General features: G+C 35.1%; 1 protein-coding gene and 1 pseudogene across 7 annotated transcripts in view; both read left to right on the top strand.

Moving 5' to 3' along the window:
• TPTE2 (transmembrane phosphoinositide 3-phosphatase and tensin homolog 2) overlaps nucleotides 1-17,728 on the top strand; it is a 138,698-nt gene that overhangs the window by 102,021 nt on the left and 18,949 nt on the right. For 6 of the 7 annotated variants that reach the window (NR_073485.2, NR_073486.1, NM_001395978.1 and 3 more), the window contains 3 exons: nucleotides 8,329-8,389; nucleotides 9,210-9,291; nucleotides 9,390-9,478. The exons of the other annotated variant lie outside the window; for it this stretch is intronic. Coding sequence is in view for 4 of the 6 variants with exons in the window: in NM_001395978.1 (NP_001382907.1) it covers nucleotides 8,329-8,389; nucleotides 9,210-9,291; nucleotides 9,390-9,478 (232 nt within the window). In the remaining 2 variants the exon portion in view is untranslated. The remainder of the gene's footprint in view (nucleotides 1-8,328; nucleotides 8,390-9,209; nucleotides 9,292-9,389; nucleotides 9,479-17,728) is intronic. 7 annotated transcript variants of the gene reach the window in all.
• Nucleotides 770-1,353, top strand: CYCSP32 (CYCS pseudogene 32; annotated as a pseudogene).

Genomic DNA, 17,728 nt, shown 5'->3' with positions numbered 1-17,728 from the left:
CCGGAGGAGGAAGGATCCCCCACAATGCAGCACACCTGCTCTACCCCAAAGCAGCCAGACTGCTTCTTTGGATGGGTCCCTGATCCAATGCCTCCTGATGGTGGGAATGCCCAACGGGGGTCTCCAGCCACCTCCTGCAGGTATGTGCGGGCTGGCTACAGGTCAGTATCCCCCTGGGATGAAGCTTCCAAAGGAAGGAGCTGGCTGCCATCTTTGCTGTTTCTCAGGCTTCACCGGCAGTATCTCATTCAGAGTCTATGAGGAACTTAAATTTACAAGAAAAAAACAGCCCCATTAAAAAGTGGGCAAAGGATCTGAACAGACACTTCCCAAAAGAGACATGCATGCAGTCAACAAAAATATGAAAAAAAATCTCAACATCACTGATCATTAAAGAAATGCAAACAAAACCACAATGAGATACCATCTCATGCCAGTCAGAATGGCTATTATTAAAAAGCCAAAAAATAACAGATGCTGGGAAGGTTGTGGAGAAAAAGGAATGCTTTTACACTGTTGGTGGGTGTGTAAATTAGTTCGACCCATGTGGAAGACAGTGTGGCAATTCCTCAAAGACCTAGAGGCAGAAATACCATCAGACCCAGCAATCCCATTATGGGGTATATACCCAAAGGAATATAAATCATTGTCTTATAAAAATACATGCATGCACACATATGTTCATTGCAGCAGTATTCACAATAGTAAAGACATGGAATCAACCTAAATGCCAGTCGATGATAGATTGGATAAAGAAAATATGGTACATAGAGTGGGATGTCTGGCTTCTGAGCGGGAATCTTTGTAGTGCCAGTGATGAAAGAGAGAATTAAATATGGGTGATGTTGAGAAAGGCAAGAAAATTTTTGTTCAGAAGTGTGCCCAGTGCCACACCGTGGAAAAGGGAGGCAAGCAAAAGACTGGGCCTAATCTCCATGGTCTCTTCAGGTGGAAGACAGGTCAGGCCATTGGATTATCTTACACAGAGACTGATAAGAACAAAGGCATCACCTGGGGAGAGGAAACACTGATAGAGTATTTTGAGAATCCCAGGAAGTACATTCCTGGAACAAAAATGATCTTTGCCAGCATTAAGAACAATGCAGAAAGGGCAGACTTGATAGCTTATCTCAAAAAAGCTACTAGTGAGTAATAATTGGCCACTGCCTTATACCTTATATTACAAAACAGAAATGTCTCATGACTTTTTTATGTGTCCTATGATATAATAGATCTCATACACCAGAATTCAGATTATGAATGACTGTCAGAATATTTTTTGGGCAGTCCTGATTTAAAACTAAGACTGGCTTGTGGTTAAATGAATAAGTTTGGTTTTTGAATATTAATAGTAATTCCAATTCAGTGAATGCTATCACTGTTTACTCCTTCTAAAGATATGATTAGACTTTGTTAATAATGTTCAACTTTTCACAAAGATGGTGAGTACCATCTTAAAACTTATTGAAGATTGGTTTTATATTTATATTTATATTGGTTTATATTTAGATTTATATGACTGGTTATGTGAATATATTTAAATACTGGGGAAATTCCTTCACTGTCTCAGAACCAAGCAAGATGCACCTGTATTTTGTGTTTATTTGCCTCTTAAAGGCAAGGGTTGAAGATAAGGTAGCAATGTCTTCTTTGTATTTTTGGCCTTAACTATGCCAATGTAATTAGAATTCCTTGTATTTAAGATGGTTCCTTTTACTTATTCAAAGGCATTTTGTGTGGTTTATGTGTAATATCAAATAAAGATTATTTAACACTTAAAAAAACAACAACAAAAAAAGAAAATGTGATACATAAATACCATGGAAAACTGTGCAGCCATAAAAAGGAACAAGATTACATCCTTTCCAGGGACATGGATGGAGCTGGAAGCTGATATCCTCAGCAAACTAACACAGGGACAGAAAACCAAACATCGCATGTTCTCACTTACATGCGGGAGCTGACAATGAGAACACATGAGCACACAATGGGGAACAACACACACTGGGGCCTGTGGGGAGGGAGGGGATGGGGGAAGGAGAGCATCAGGAAGAATAGCTAATGGATGCTGGGCTTAATACATAGGGATGGGATGATCTGTGCAGCAAACCACCATGGCACACATTTAACTGTGTAACACACCTGCACATCCTCCACATGTACCACTGAACCTAAAATAAAAGTTGAAGTAAATTATCTGTATATACATATGCCCTGATGTACATACGTATACATTATATATGCATGCATCTATAACCACATGTTTATTGAGGTATAACACATATGGTAGGTTGCACTACTCAAGTATATATCTTGATGATATTATACCTGAGTATATATGCATGTAACCAACACCTCTGTCAATATATTGGTCTATGACTGACCTCCAATTAATTGTTGTAAAGATATAAAGTATCAAGTTTCATGTTTTTCACATAGCTCTCAATTCCTCCTGTACCATTTATTGTAAAGAGCATGATTTCCCCCAATGAATTGCAGAGGTGCGTTTATTGCAAATAAAGTGAACATATACGTATAGGTCTGTTTCTGGGCTTTTTGTCCTTTTGTTATGACTGTCTATACTTAAGTCCAGACCATAGTTTTAATTATTATGGCCTTATAGTGACTCTTGAGAACTTGTGTATAAGTCCTCCAACTTTGTACTTCTTTGTTTAAAAACTATCTTGGCTCTCTTAGATTTTTTGAATTTCCATATAAATTTTAGAATCATCTTGGCAATTTACATACACACACACACACTCAAACCCACACAAACACACCCCCACACCTTGTTAGTATTTTGACTTGGGCATTGACTACACAGCTTAATTTGGAGAGACTTGACATGTAAAAATATTAAGATTTCCAACTCATGAACATAATACATCTCTCTACTGATGTCTTCTTTGATTTCTTTTAGCAATGTTTGCAGTGTACAGGTTTTACAACTTTTGTTAGTTTTATTTCTATGTAGTTGATAAGTTTTTGTGCTATTTTAAATGATATTTGAAGATCTTCATTTTCTAAATATTTGCTCTTGGTATGTAGGAACATAACTAATTTTTGTATATTGACTTTTGTTTATTTGTTTGTCTTAAGACAGGGCCTTGCTCTGTCACCACAGGCTGGAGTGCAGTGGCACCTGGGCTCAAGCATTTCTCCCACCTCAGTCTCCCACATAGCTGGGACTACAAGCAGGCATCACCACACTTGGCTAATTTTTTTAATTAATTTTTGTAGAGAAGGAGTCTCTCTGGTCTCACTGACCCAAGCTGGTCTTGAACTCCTGGATTCAAGCAACCCTCCCACCTCAGCCTCCCAAAGTGCTGGGATTAAAGGTGTGAGCCACCACACCTGGCCTTGTATGTTGACTTTACATCTAGCATCCTTCATAAATTCACATATTCATTTTAATAATGAATATGTAGATTCCCTGGGATTTTTAAAATGTATGCAATCATATAAAGTTACTACTTTCTTCCCACTTTTTATACTTTTTTCTTTCTTTATTGAATTATCTAGGACTTTCACGGTAATATTGAATAGAAATGGTAAGAGGAGGCAACCTTGCCCTGTTCCCAAACCCACGTGGAAAGAATTTCATGCTTCACTATTTGAAATGATGTTTGCTATAGGCTTTTGTAGTCATTCTTTACTAGATTAAGACAGTCCATTTTATTTCTAGTTTGCTAAAAGTTTTGAATCATGAATTGGTGTTGAATATATCAGATATTTTTTCTGCATCTATCAAGATAATAAAAATGTTTTTCTGTTATTCCATTAATGAGATTTTCAAATGTTAAACCAACCTTTTTTATTTTTGGAATAAACTCCTTTTGGTCTTAATGTATTTTTTTATGTATCACTAGATTCTATTTGCTAATATTTTATTTAGAACTTTTCATCTGTGTTCATGAGGGATATGTAGTTTTCTTTCCTGAAATGTCTTTATCAGCTGGTCTACAATTAGCTTAGGTGTCTTGGGTAACTCCTATCTACTCAACTTATCTTCATCCTCCATCTGGATGAATATGATGGGTATGTTTCAAGGTCATGGCAAAAGGAAAGAGCTAGAGTGGAATCTTACAAATGCTTTTGCAAGCCTCTCCTTTGTGGCATCCCAGTGACCAAATCAACTCACATAATGGAACACAAAATTAGAGAGAAGGGGCACTACGAGGTGAAATGTGAGGGCTTGGATTCAGGAAAAGTTGAAGAATTGAGACCATTGATGGAATGATTCTACCTTATTCTCAGGCAGGGAAGCATTTTTATACATGCAGATAGTTCACAAGAAATAACTGCTCTATAGTCAGAGACTAGAGACTTCAGCAGTTGTATAAAAATACATTTGTAAATACCTAAAGACCTTGAAGAGAAGGGTCTGAACCACATCTCACCCAGGTTATGCTATTGATGGCTAAGACATGACTCTACCACTCCCTTGGCCAATTTTGAAAATTGTTTCAAACTATTTATTTGAGGTGGAAGTACTTTCTGTTGCTCCGAATGGGCACAGTCATGGAGTAATGTGACCAGGGTCCACTGGATGGGTCATGGCACTTGAGGGCAGCCATCCAAAAATTTCCAAATTCCATCTTTATGGGGAAAACATCTCTTGATTGCTAATATTGTTTTTTAAAGCAGGTTAAGTTAATGACTGTGAGTTAATTATAGCATGTCTAAATTGAGCCCATTTTCTTTTAGTAGATTTGGTGGTGACTAATATAAATTTGGCAACACTTAATATTAGCTGGGGTGTTTTTAAAAAGCCAAAAACTTTTAGCATGTAAATCAAGACAAAGACATTACTATTTTTTTCTGGGGTGATCTCTAGACTCTTGGTTTCTATCAGTTATTAAACTGTTATCTCCTTGGGGCATTGACAAAGTACTAATAAGTCATTGATTCCTTAACCATTTTTAATCAGAGTATCCCAAAAGGAGGTAATCATGTGTTTTAATAAATTCCACAAATCATAAACCACTCAAAAAGCAAATCTACCATCCATATTAATATTTAATCTTTCATCTTTGCCAGAGTGCAGCCCCAAATCTAAGCTACTAGTTCAGCTACCTGGGCAGGCTGGGAATCAGGCCATGGAGCCCTTCAGTGATTGCATGTTCAGTGATAACAGCATGTCCTGCACTGGGAGTGTCTCTGTCATATTTGAGAAGTATCTACAAAGTATATTAAATCAAGGTTGACTAAAAGGGAGAAGATTCAAATCCAGGCATACTTAACTCCTGAGAGGATGCTAAACAGTCATGTGATTCCCCTTTATTCTTAAAAGGGAATCAAGTTGCAGGGTTACATTTTGAACAACAGCGAATGAGCAAAGCAGACATTACAATTTCATAAGTGGTAAATTTGCTAGTGGAGAAGTGTCAGATGCTGCCTTGAAGTAGCAAAAACTTTAGAGAAGCAGGACCCATAGAGTTAGTGGAGAAACAAGCACTACGGTGGAAGCATCAACAAGTTTGGCCACTGCTACCACCTCATGCAAGTACGGAAGGTATACTTTTGCCTCCAAATCAAGGAATGTACTAAGATAGGCAGAGAGAAGAGTATGGTAGATTTAGGAAAACCCAAAGGTGGAGGTTGTTGCAAGAGGCTTTCTAAGAGGAGACAGCATTTTTTACTTTTGCATCACAAGGAAGAGTTTCAGAAATTATAAACTTAGTAAGCCATGCAAAGGCTGAGCTATTGAGAAAAATCAGGTATACAATTACCTACATTCCTACAATCTTAGCCATCTTTTAATTTCTGTTCTTGGTAGAATTGAATGCACTTTATTCTGGCTGAAAACAGAAACTGTCCATCTGGTGACAGATTGTGACCAGAAAAATGTAGATTCTTGGCAGAGTTGAATTTTTTCTAGATTCTTTATGTCCTTTTTCACCTAATTTGGATAAGAGGTATTTGCAGTCTTCGGTAAACTACTTAGATCAGAAAACACAGCAGTAAATCATCTAAATGGTGAGTTGCTATATATATATATATATATATATATATGATTATAAAATGATATATATATATCATTTTTTAGGCATTGAGAGAACTAGGAAGTGGATTTGGAAAAATCCCTAAAGCTTAACTGTCCAGTTATATTTGTTTCCCCATGAAAAAGCAAATATTGACTGTTTTTCTATATATGTATACTAAGGAAGGCTGCACATAAATTACCAGTGTGAGATATTTACTTGTTGAGAGAATGAAGGACAGGGATGGGCACGGTGGCTCACACCTATAATTCCAGCACTTTGGGAGGCCGAGGAGGGTGGATCACCTGAGGTCAGGAGTTCAAAACCAGCCTGGCCAGCATGGTGAAACCCTGTCTCTACTAAAAATACAAAAAATTATCCAGGCGTGGTGGCAGGCACCTGTAATCCCAGCTACTCAGAAGGCTGAGGCAGGAGAATTGCTTGAACCTGGAAGGCAGAGGTTGCAGTGAACTGATATTGCACCTTTGCACTCCAGCCTGGGCAACAAGAGTGAAACTCCATCTCAAAATAAAATAAAATAAAATAACATAAAATAACATAAAATAAAATAAAATAAAATAAATAAAATAAAATAAAATAAAATAAAATAAAATAAAAAAATATGAAGGACAGGACAGTATTCTAAATGTTGCATGATATTTCATTAGTGCTATGATTAACCTCTAATGTTGGACATTTAAGTGTCACTATAATCAACAATACAGCAACAGACATCTTTGCGCATAAGGCTTTTTCTGTATAGATTGCTAGGAGTGAAATTACCTAGCTAAGAGTATGAATATTTTTAGGGTTCTTAATATATATTGCCAATTCCGAGAGCAATTGTATTCTTGTATCCACAATAAATCAAAGTTTTAAATTTCATGCCTTATTTTGCCAGCATTGGATTTTCTCATTAAAAGAGAAAGGGCTAATTTCATGGGTGCAAATGGCATTTCATTGTTGTTTTGACTTTGTTATTGGTGACACTGAATGTTTACGTAGGTTGTTAATCAGTTAGATTTTCTCTTTTATGGATTATTTGTGTCCTTAGCCCATTTATCTATAAGGTGAGTGAGTAATATTTAAGTTGTTGTTAATGAATTATTAATTTATCATACTAGGCATAGTCCCCATTCAGTCAATTTTTCTGAAAAATCGTTTCCCCTGTTATTCATTAATAGCATTTTTAAGCAGAAATTTCAGATTTTTATGAAGTCAAACCTAAGCCTATTGATCTTCCATTGATTCAACACCTTTAGTTCTTCCTCATCCAAAGAATTGATTAAAATTTGCTTAAATTTCTCATAGATATTTATAGTTTTTATATGTGATTTCTAAACCCGTGTGGATTTTATGTAAGAAATTCCATGAATTCTGAAGTATGTAAAACTATTTATCCTTGCCTCCCCCACTATGCAGATTCAGAGTGTTCATCTTTTTGACTTATTATTTCCTCCTAACAGAGATAGCCAGTTTAATAAATGGATGACTTTGAAAATTTTATTTTTCTCAATATTAAGCCTGTAAACATCGCTCTGAGGGTACCATACTAATCAGTTTTAAAATTTTGTGTCATTTTTGTTGTTGCACAGAGATATATACGTATGTGTGTGCATGTTTCAGAAAGATATATTTACTGAAAGTTGGATTCATATAGTGGTATTGATTGTATTTTAAATAATAACTACTATTTGTTTTTCATTTTAAAGGTTATACATATATACACACACACACACACACACACACACACACACACACTTATAGGTACACATATATCTTCATTTAAAAAAATAAAGAGAACAAATGAGCCAAAAAAGTCTCCATATTGTTACCAGTTATTTAAAATTTGATATGTTTATCTTTTTCTATCACACATACACACAATCATGCTATATACTTTTTGCATTTATTTGTTTCCATAGTGCTTAGATAGACTGTAATATGCAGATCACTCTCTAAAGATGTATCTATTCAGAATTAAATTGAAATAAGAACCAATATGAATTAGATTTAAACAAGAACCATATTAACTGTGAATTAATGATTTAGAACAAATTACTTAAAGTTAGTTAACCAGCTAATTTACTTATGTGATAGCTTTAAACAGTGTGTATTTACAATAGAGACTCATCTGAGTAGCCAAACACACTTTGTGGACTATTTGAAAAATCACAGTGGATTAGAACTTGAAGTTTGCATACCCTCTTATTCCCTGAATCTCCCCTAGAAGATGCTAGTGAGAGACAAATTAATAAAAGTAATAACCATTTTAGGTTCCCCCTAGGAAATAGCTTGTGTTGGTGCCATGTAAATATGTAAGATATGTGTTTGTCTTTTTTAGGAAGTTGTGCGGTTTCTAGATAAGAAACATCGAAACCACTATCGAGTCTACAATCTATGCAGTATGTACATTACTCTATATTTTGCTACTGTAGGTAGAAAACAGATTACTGCACGTAAGAAGATGATTTTGCTTTTTAGATTGCATTTAATCATAAGTATTTGGTAGTGGCAAGGAATGAATTTAAAAATCCCCATCTTGGACTGGCCCCATTTAGTAGAGGGAGTTAGCCCAGCAGCACAAGGTACCGTATGAAGGATGTGGCTTTGGCAGGACCAATGAGGCTGGAGTGGAAGCAAACCATTTTAGGGAAGATCTGTTCTGGCCATATTAGGTTTAGGAAAATCTTTCTGTTTTTCCTGCCAGATTGTGTTATGAGGACATAGACAATTTAACAAATGAGCCCTCTGACCCATCAGCAGTGGCATGTGATGAGAGCAAGGCTCTAGATGGGAAAAAAGCAAAAGACTCTGTAGAAAATAGGTTGTAACCCAGTTTAATACCCTGTCTCTCTTGATTTTTTCCTCTACCTGTATACTCAATAGACATTTTCAGGGGGCAAACATTTTGGTCAGCTACATTTGCCTCTTGTGTGGTTTCTAACTACCCTGAAATAATATAATGAATAGGCTGCTAGAAAGTTAAAAATTATACCTATTAAACAAAAATAAGTTGAGTTTAGGTTACATGAGATGGATAAACCACTACCATCCTTACGTTTTTGAAATGCTTGCGTTTATTTTAGAGTGGCAGGAGCAACTTGGAAAGCTCTTTTTGAAGATAGATAAGGAATTCTAATAAGATATGTTAACTTATTCATAACTTCATCATTTATCATGTTATTCCCTATAGAGATATGACATACATATTATTTATTTTAGGTGAAAGAGCTTATGATCCTAAGCACTTCCATAATAGGGTCAGTAGAATCATGATTGATGATCATAATGTCCCCACTCTACAGTAAGTTTTATGCTAAATTGACTATCAGAAGAGGGCTAAATATATTGGGCTTGATTTTTTGAAAATATTTTAACTAAAAATCTTAAACTTGAAATCAGTGAGATGGTGGTTTTCACCAAGGAAGTAAATGAGTGGATGGCTCAAGATCTTGAAAACATCGTAGCGATTCACTGTAAAGGAGGCAAAGGTAATAACATTTTCCTTTTCATTTTTCCCTTTCTAAAGACATGTAAATATAGATAAAGTAGAAGAACAAGATACGTATTGCTATTAATATGTATTAATAATTGTTAGCATTTTTAAATATTAGCTCCAAGACTGAAAGAAGGGAAGGAGAAAGGAAAGAGGAGAGGAGGAAGGGTAGGAGATAGGGAGAGGATAAGGAATGGAAGAAAGTAGGAAAAAAGAACTAAGGAAGGTTGAGCATATTTTCCCTTGTTTTCCTAGTATTTGGATTTTTTATTTTTGGTTTGCCAGTTTATATCTCTCAAAATACAAACAGTCTTTAATTTTAGAATATCAGAGTACTTTTATTTTATTTAAGGCTGATCTTTTTTATTTTTAAATTAACAAAAAAATCAATATATTTATGGTGTACAACATGATGTTTTGATATACATAAACATTGTGAAATGGCTAAATCAAGCTAATTAACATATGTATTACTCCACATATTTTTGTGTGAGAACATTTAAAATCTACTGTCTCAGCAATTTTCAAGTATACATTATTATTAACTGTGGTCACTATGTTGTACAATAAATTTCCTGAACTTATTCTTCCTGTCTAACTGAAATTTTGCATCCTTTAATCAACATCTCAGGCTGGGCACAGTGGCTCACACCTGTAATCCCAGCACTTTGGGAGGCTGAGGCAGGTGGATCACATGGTGAAGCCCCATCTCTACTAAAAATACAAAACATTAGCCGGATGTGGTGGCATGCACCTGTAATCCCAGCTACTCGGGAGGCTGAGGCAGAAGAATCGCTTGAACCTGGGAGGCAGAGGTTGCAGTGAGCTGAGATCGCACCATTGTACTCCAGCCTGAGCAACAAGAACAAAACTCCATCTAAAAAAATAACAATAATAATAAAGTAAAAACCAACATCTTCACAATCCCCCCAGTTTTGTCTCCCCAGCCCCGGTAACCACCATTCTACTCTCTGCTTCTATGAATTTGACTTTTTTAGATTCCACAAATAAGTGAGACATGCAGTATTTGTCTTTCTATGCCTGGCTTATTTCACTTAGCATAATGTTCTCCAGGTTCATCCATATTATCTTGTGACAGGATATCCTCTAAGGCTGAATAGTATGCCTTTATTTATATATACCACATATTCTTTATTCATTCATCCACTGATGACATTTAGATTGACTCCATAGCTTGGGTATTATGAATAATGCTGCAGTGAACACGGGAGTGCAGATTTCATTTCCTTTGGATATATACCCAGAAGTGGAATCTCCAAATCATATGGTAGTTCTATTTTTGTTTTTTTGAGGAATCTCAGTGCTGTTTTCCACAATAACTACTAATTTACATTCACACCAACAGTGTACAAGGGAGGGTCCCTTTTCTCTTCATCCTCACCAACTCTTCTTTTGTCTTTTTGTTAATGACCATCCTAACAGGTGTGAGGATATCTCTTTGTGGTTTTAAATTGCTTTTCCCTGATGATTAATGATGTTTAGCAGTTTCTCATTATACCTCTTGGCCATTTCCGTTGGGAAATATCTTTTCAGGTTCTTTGCCCATTTTCTAGAGAAGTAACATGTTCTCTTGCTATTGTGTTGTCTGAGTTCTTTTTTTAAAAAATCTGTTAACCTATTATCGAATGTATGCTTTGTAGATATTTCTCCCATTCTGTAGGTTCTCTCTTTACTCTATAAATGTTTCCTTTGCTGTGCAAAAGTGTTTTAGTTTGATACAGTATCATTTGTCTACTTTTTCTTTTGTTGCCTATGCTTTTCAGTCATATCCAAAAATATCTTGGCCCAGACCAATGTCAAGAAGATTTTCACCTATCTTTTCTTCTAGTAGTTTTCCAATTTCACGTTTCACAGTTAAGCATTTACTTTGAGTTGATTTTTGTATATTGGGTGAGATAGGTTGCAATTTCATTTTTCTGCAAGTGGATATTCAGTTTCCCCAGTATCGTTTATTGAAGAGACTGTCCTTTCCCCATCTTGGATTCTTGGCACCTTTGTTGAACATCAGCTGAGTATAAATGCATGGATTTTTTCTGGGCTGTCTATTCTGTTCCATTGGTCTATATGTCTGTTTTTGTTCCAGTAATATTTAAGGTTGTTCTTAAACTTTGTGAGAACCTTTTAGATTAAGGGAGCCAACAGAGATGCTATTTCAAAAATTATGCTGGAATTTTTATAGTGTAATGATACGAAGAAGTTGACATTGGTGGGGTTAAAATGGGGAAAAAAAGCCATTTGTAAATCCAACCAATTTAAGTTTAGTTAGATTTTCTCTCATTCAGGTTTAGGCTTTAAATAATCATCTAAGCATATTTCACAAATTTTGCCAAACATAAATAATTACATTTTTAGTGGGCTCTAAATGAATTTTTATATCAAATTCCAGGAAAACATAGCACCGTAAACTGACTTATATAATTCAGTAAAATCAAGTTTTAGTCTTATTGACTAGTTTCAAGCCCATTAGTTAATATACAGGTTCTGTGTTTAGCTGTATATTAGTTCATATACAGGTTCTGTGTTTAGCTCTACAGGTTGGAATATTGTATATAAACTGGCAATTTACAATACCATAGTTAAGAATATAGAGGTTGAATCATTTGAAATTGCCAGTTTTTAACCATCTTTTGCTTTAAAAATGGCCATTTCACATTACCCAACCTAAAATGTTATTATTAAAGAAGTTAGCATCAGCTTTCTATTAACTAATGCTAATTCCTTGCTTGAAGGAAAACATTCATTTCAAATTTGACTTTTTTTCTTTTTTGCTGAGAGGGGGTTTACATTATTCTGTATTCACATAATATTTTGTTGATTTTGTTAAAGTTTGTTTAGAGGGCTAATATTCAGCTGGTATGTACCAGAGCAGCCTCTTTTTTATGTGTTCATTCATATTAGTCTTGCTATCTTCTGGTTGGTTGCTGCCTGCAGGTTACCAGTAGTATCATGATAGTAAAAATATTTTATATCGATTTATAGGAGTTCTTTAAAGAATCTGAATGCCAATTTTTCTTAGTATTGTAATTATATTCTCCCCACATGTTGCCTTTAAATTTGATGGTGATTTATTTTGTTGTACAAAAGTTTGTAAATTTTTGTTTTGTTTTGAGACATGATCTCGCTCTGTCACTCAGGCTGGAGTGCAGTGGCATGATCTCAGCTCATTGCAGCCTGAACCTCCTGGGGCTCAAGCGATCCTCCCATCTCAGCCCCTCTGAGTAGGTGGGACTACAGGTGAGCATCACCATGCCTGGCTAATTTTTGTATTTTTTATAGAGACAGGGTCTCACTGTGTTGCCCAGACTGGTCTTGAACTCCTGGACTCAAGTGATCCACCCACCTCAGCTTCCCAAAGTGCTGGGATTACAGGCATGAGCCATCATGCCCGGAGAGAAGTTTGTAATTTTGAATATAGTAAAATTTGTTTTTCTATGTGTGTGTATGTATTTCATGCTTTTCTGTCATGTTTATGAAATTCACCCCTATACTGATATAGTAAAGATATTCCACATTTCCTCAAAAATATTCAAGTTCCATTTTTAGTATTTGGGTCTTTAATCTAATTGGAAGTTGGGGGGGAAGTATTTTTTTTCATATAGATAGCCAATTGTCCTAACACCATCAATTGCATGCTATTTTGTTCTCCATTAATTTGTAGTCCCTCTCAGTAATATACCAAGTTTCTATAAATATTCAAGACTGTTCCTAAGTTCTCTCTACCACACTTTTGTAATTATTGTAGCTTTATAATATGGTTTGATAAAGGCAGAATTGTCTTGCTCTTCTTGGAACTTTATTATTACATTCAATTTTAAAATCATTTTGTGAAGTGCCATAATGGAACACTTTTAGGATTTTTATTGGAACTACATTGAATTTACAGATTAACTTGAGAGAACTGACAACTTTGAGATATTGAGTTGTACATGTGAATCATCTTGTTCATTCTTTAATAATATTTTATACTTTTTTTATCATGTCTTTGCACATCTTTTCAAAAATTCATTCCTACACAAATTGTGACTGAAAATGGAATCTCTTTTTTTCTATTACATTTGGGTTGTTTCCAATTTTTATTGTGATAAATTATGTTTTTTGTTTTTTGTTTTGAGATAAGGTCTCACTCTGTCACCCAGGCTGGAGTGCAGTGACATGATCTCAGTTCATTGCAACCTCCGCCTCCTGCGTTCAAGCAATTCTCATGTCTGAGCCTCCGGAGTAACTGGGATTACAGGCGTCCGCCACCATACCCAGCTACTTTTGTATTTTTAGTAGAGATGGGGTTTTGCCATGTTGTCCAGGCTGGTCTCAAATTCCTGACCTCAAGTGATGTGCCTGCCTCTGCCTCCCAAATTGCTGGGATTACAGGCATGAGCCACCATGCCTAGCCCAATAATACTGCTTTTAAAAATACATGTTTCTTGTTGCACATGTGGCCACATTTTTGTTGAGTGTATACCTCAGACTAAAATTGTTCTGTCTTAGGGTAATGAATCTTGAACTTTACTTGATAATGTCATCTGTTTTCTAAAACAGTTGTACCAATTTTTACTCCACTGGTATTGTAGACTTCAAGCATTCCGTATCTTCCCCAATACTTGCAATTCTGAGTATTTTTATCTTTAGCCTTTTGGGTGTGTGATGGCATCTTATGGTGGTGATCATTTGCATTTCTATAATTACTAATAAGTTTGAGGAAGTTTTTTTAAGATTATTAAGTATTTGGATATCCTTTTTTGTAAAGTAACTTTTTTATTTTCTTAACCATTTTTCTCCTGGATTATTCATCTTTTTTCTCCTGATTGTAGGAGTTCTTTATGTATTCTGATTTCAATTCTGTTATTGGTCATAAATGTATTTCAAGAAAGCTTTTCTGCTCTGTGATTTGCCTTTTCTGTCTCTCAGGAGTATCTTCTGGTTAACAGAAGTTCTTAATTGTATTACCATCATATGTATCATGCTTTCCCTTTATAAAGTTTGTGTTTTTGTGTCCTGATTAAGAAAATTTTCCTTGAGTTTAAAGGACATTTTACTACTATATTTTCTTCGAGAAGGTTCATTCCTTTTAAACTTGATTTATGTGTGTGGTGTGAGGAAGGCGTCATGTTTCATCTTTTTTCATGTATGGCTATCCAGTTATTCCAGCACAATGGTTCAGAAGATTTTCATTTCTTTGCTACCCTGAAGAACATGAATCTGTTTCTGACCTTTCTATTCTGTTCATTGATTTTTCATCTGTGTGCCAATAGCACAACTATCTTACTGTAGCTTTCTAATACGTCCTCATCATCTTCTTCTTTCTCACAATTGTTTGGGTATTTTAGGTCATCTATATTTCCATATAAATTTGGGAATCAACTAGTCAAATTACACACACTGGATAGAAATTTGTTTGGAATTGCATTGAATTTATAGACTGGGGAGAATTGAATCTTTACAATATTGACTCATCCAACCCATGAAGAGAGGTATTCTCTCATTTAGTTAGGTCCTCTTCAATTTCTCTTTACAATGCTTTCTCATTTTCTGTATAGAAAGCTTGCGTATTTTTGGTGAGATTTATTCTTAGATTTTTTTTGTGGCTATTTAAATGATATCCTTTTAAAATGTCTGTTTTCTAAATGTTTTTTGTTGTTTTAAATGCAGTTCATTTTATTTATTAATCTTGCAATTAGCAACTTTCCTAAACTCACTTTTTTTTTTTTTTTTTTTTTTTTTTTTTTTTTTTTTTTTTTTTTTTTTTGTGGCAGAGTCTCATTCTGTCACCCAGGCTGGAGTGCAGTGGCATGATCATGGCTCACTACAGCCTCAACCTCCCTGGGCTCAGGTGATCCTCCTATATCAGCCTCTTGAGTAGCTAGCACTGCAGGCAGGTGCCACCATGCCCAGCTAATTTTTTCATTTTTTTGTAGAGATGGGGTTTCGCTATGTTGCCCAGGTTGGTCTCAAACTCCTGCGCTCAAGTTATCTGCCAGCCTCAGCCTCCGCCTCCCAAAGTGCTAGGACTGCAGGTCTGAGCCACCGTGCCCAGCCTAAACTCACTTATTAGTTCTACTAATTTATCTATAGATTCTTTTGGATTTTATGGTACATGATTACATCATATGAAAATAATAAATTGTATTTTTTCCATTTCAGTCATTTATCTCCCCTAGCACTGGCTAGAACATTCAGTACAGTGTAGAATTAGAAGTGGCAATAGCAGCCATCAACATACAGTTCCATTCTCAAAGGAAAAGCTTTCAACATCTCTCCAATTGCTTAACGACTGTGTGTGTGTGTGTGTGTGTGTGTGTGTGTGTGTGTGTGTGTATTAGCTACCATTTATCGATTAAGAAATTCCTTGGCTGGGTGCCATGGCTTACACCTGTAATCCCAGCACTTTGGGAGGCCCAGTGGGGTCAGATCACTTGAGGCCAGGAGTTTAAGACCAGCCTAGGCAACATGGTGAAACCCTGTCTCTACTAAAAAATACAAAAATTTGCCAGGTGTGGTGGCACATGCCTGTAATGCCAGCTACTCCGGCTGAGGCACGAGAATCACTTGAAACCAGGAGGCAGAGGTTGCAGTGAGCCAAGATCACACCACTGCTCTCCAGCCTGGATGACAGAGTGAGACTCTGTCTGAAAAAATGAAACAAAAAAAAAAAAAAGAAAGAAAGAAAGAAAAAAGAAATTCCTTTAGCTTGCTAAGAGTTTTTTTTTTTTTAAATCATGAATGGATGTTGAATTCTTAAAGATTTTTCTGAATCTTTGAGATGATAATTTTTCTACTTTATCCTATAAATAAATGTGGTTAATTACATTGATTAACTGGTAAACCAACATGTTTCTGGAATAAATGTAATTTAGTTGTGCTGTATTATTTTGTTAAATACTTATTAAATTATTTTATTATTATATTGCCAGATTCTGTCTGTTAATATTTTGTTTAGGATTTTCAAATTCATGTCATCTGGGCAATTGGTTATAATTTTCCTTTCTCATAGTTTTTTCAAATCTTGGTTTCATAAAATGAGTTAGATTTCATTTTCTCTGTTTTTATTCTCTGGGTAAATTTATGCATGCTGATTTTTTTCCTTCTTAAGTGTAAAGTGAAATTCACCAGTGAAGGCACATTGGCCTAGAGTTTTCTCTGGAGAGAAGTCTTTAAATTATGGCTCAATTCCCTATATAGAATGTTTTTATAATTTTATTTCTTTTGCCCATTTTGGTAGATTATAGTTTTCCCAGCATTTGTCCATTTAATTTAACTTTGCAAATGTCTTGACATCAAATTGTTCACAATATCATTTTACCATTTTAGTGTCTGCAGAGATGTTCCCTTTTTTATTCCCGACATTGCTTTCTTGGTGCCTTCTCCCCTTTTTTCTTTTGATTAGTCTCACCAGGGATTTATCAATTTTACTAGTCTTTTAAAAGAACCAAATTTTTGGCCTTATTGGTGGTCTCTATTTTTTACTTATTTTTTATTTCATCAATTACTATGATATCTAGTATTTTCTTCTGTACTCCTTGGGTTAATTTGTTCTTTTCCTGACTTCTTGACATGGATAATTCTTAGAGTGTTGGCCACTCTCTTTTCTATTTACGATTTAAGGCTACAAGTTTTCCTCTAAGAATTGCTTTAGTTTCATCCCATAAATTTTTATTTGTAGTGTTTTTATTTTACTTAGTTCAAACTATGTTCCAACTTTGTGCTTTTTTTTTTGACCCATGAGTTATGTAGAAGTGTGCTTCCTTATTTCCAAACATATGAGAGTTTTGTATTTATCTTTAAATTTTTGATTTATTACATTTTGTTGTGGACACAGAACATACTATGTATTTTTTTCTTTTTTAGTTCTTTGAAATTTGTTTAGACTTGCTTAATGGCCCAGAATTTGGTTGATATTGTCAAATGTTTTCTGTACATTTGAAAAGAACATGTATTATGCATTGTTGAGAACAGTGTTCTATGTACATCTATTTTATTTAACTCTTCTATTTTCCTACTGACATTCTGTTTTCGTTCCATTGAATTTTAATAATATAATTTTTTGCTTCTTACCCTCTGTCCTTACCTTGGAAGTCATATACTCCTTTTCTATGTTTTTAGTAATTACTGTAAAGATTTCAACCTGCATCCTTGATTTAGCTATTAATTTTTGTTTATGTTGAGCCTGCATCTAGAAATCTTCCTAAATTCTCTCATTAGATTAAGGAGTTATTCTAAAGATTTACTT

This window comes from Homo sapiens, chromosome 13, assembly GCF_000001405.40.
Source record: "Homo sapiens chromosome 13, GRCh38.p14 Primary Assembly".
NCBI lineage: Eukaryota > Metazoa > Chordata > Mammalia > Primates > Hominidae > Homo > Homo sapiens.
The sequence above is the reverse complement of the archived record's forward strand: the minus strand, read 5'-3'. Positions and strand labels throughout refer to the sequence as shown.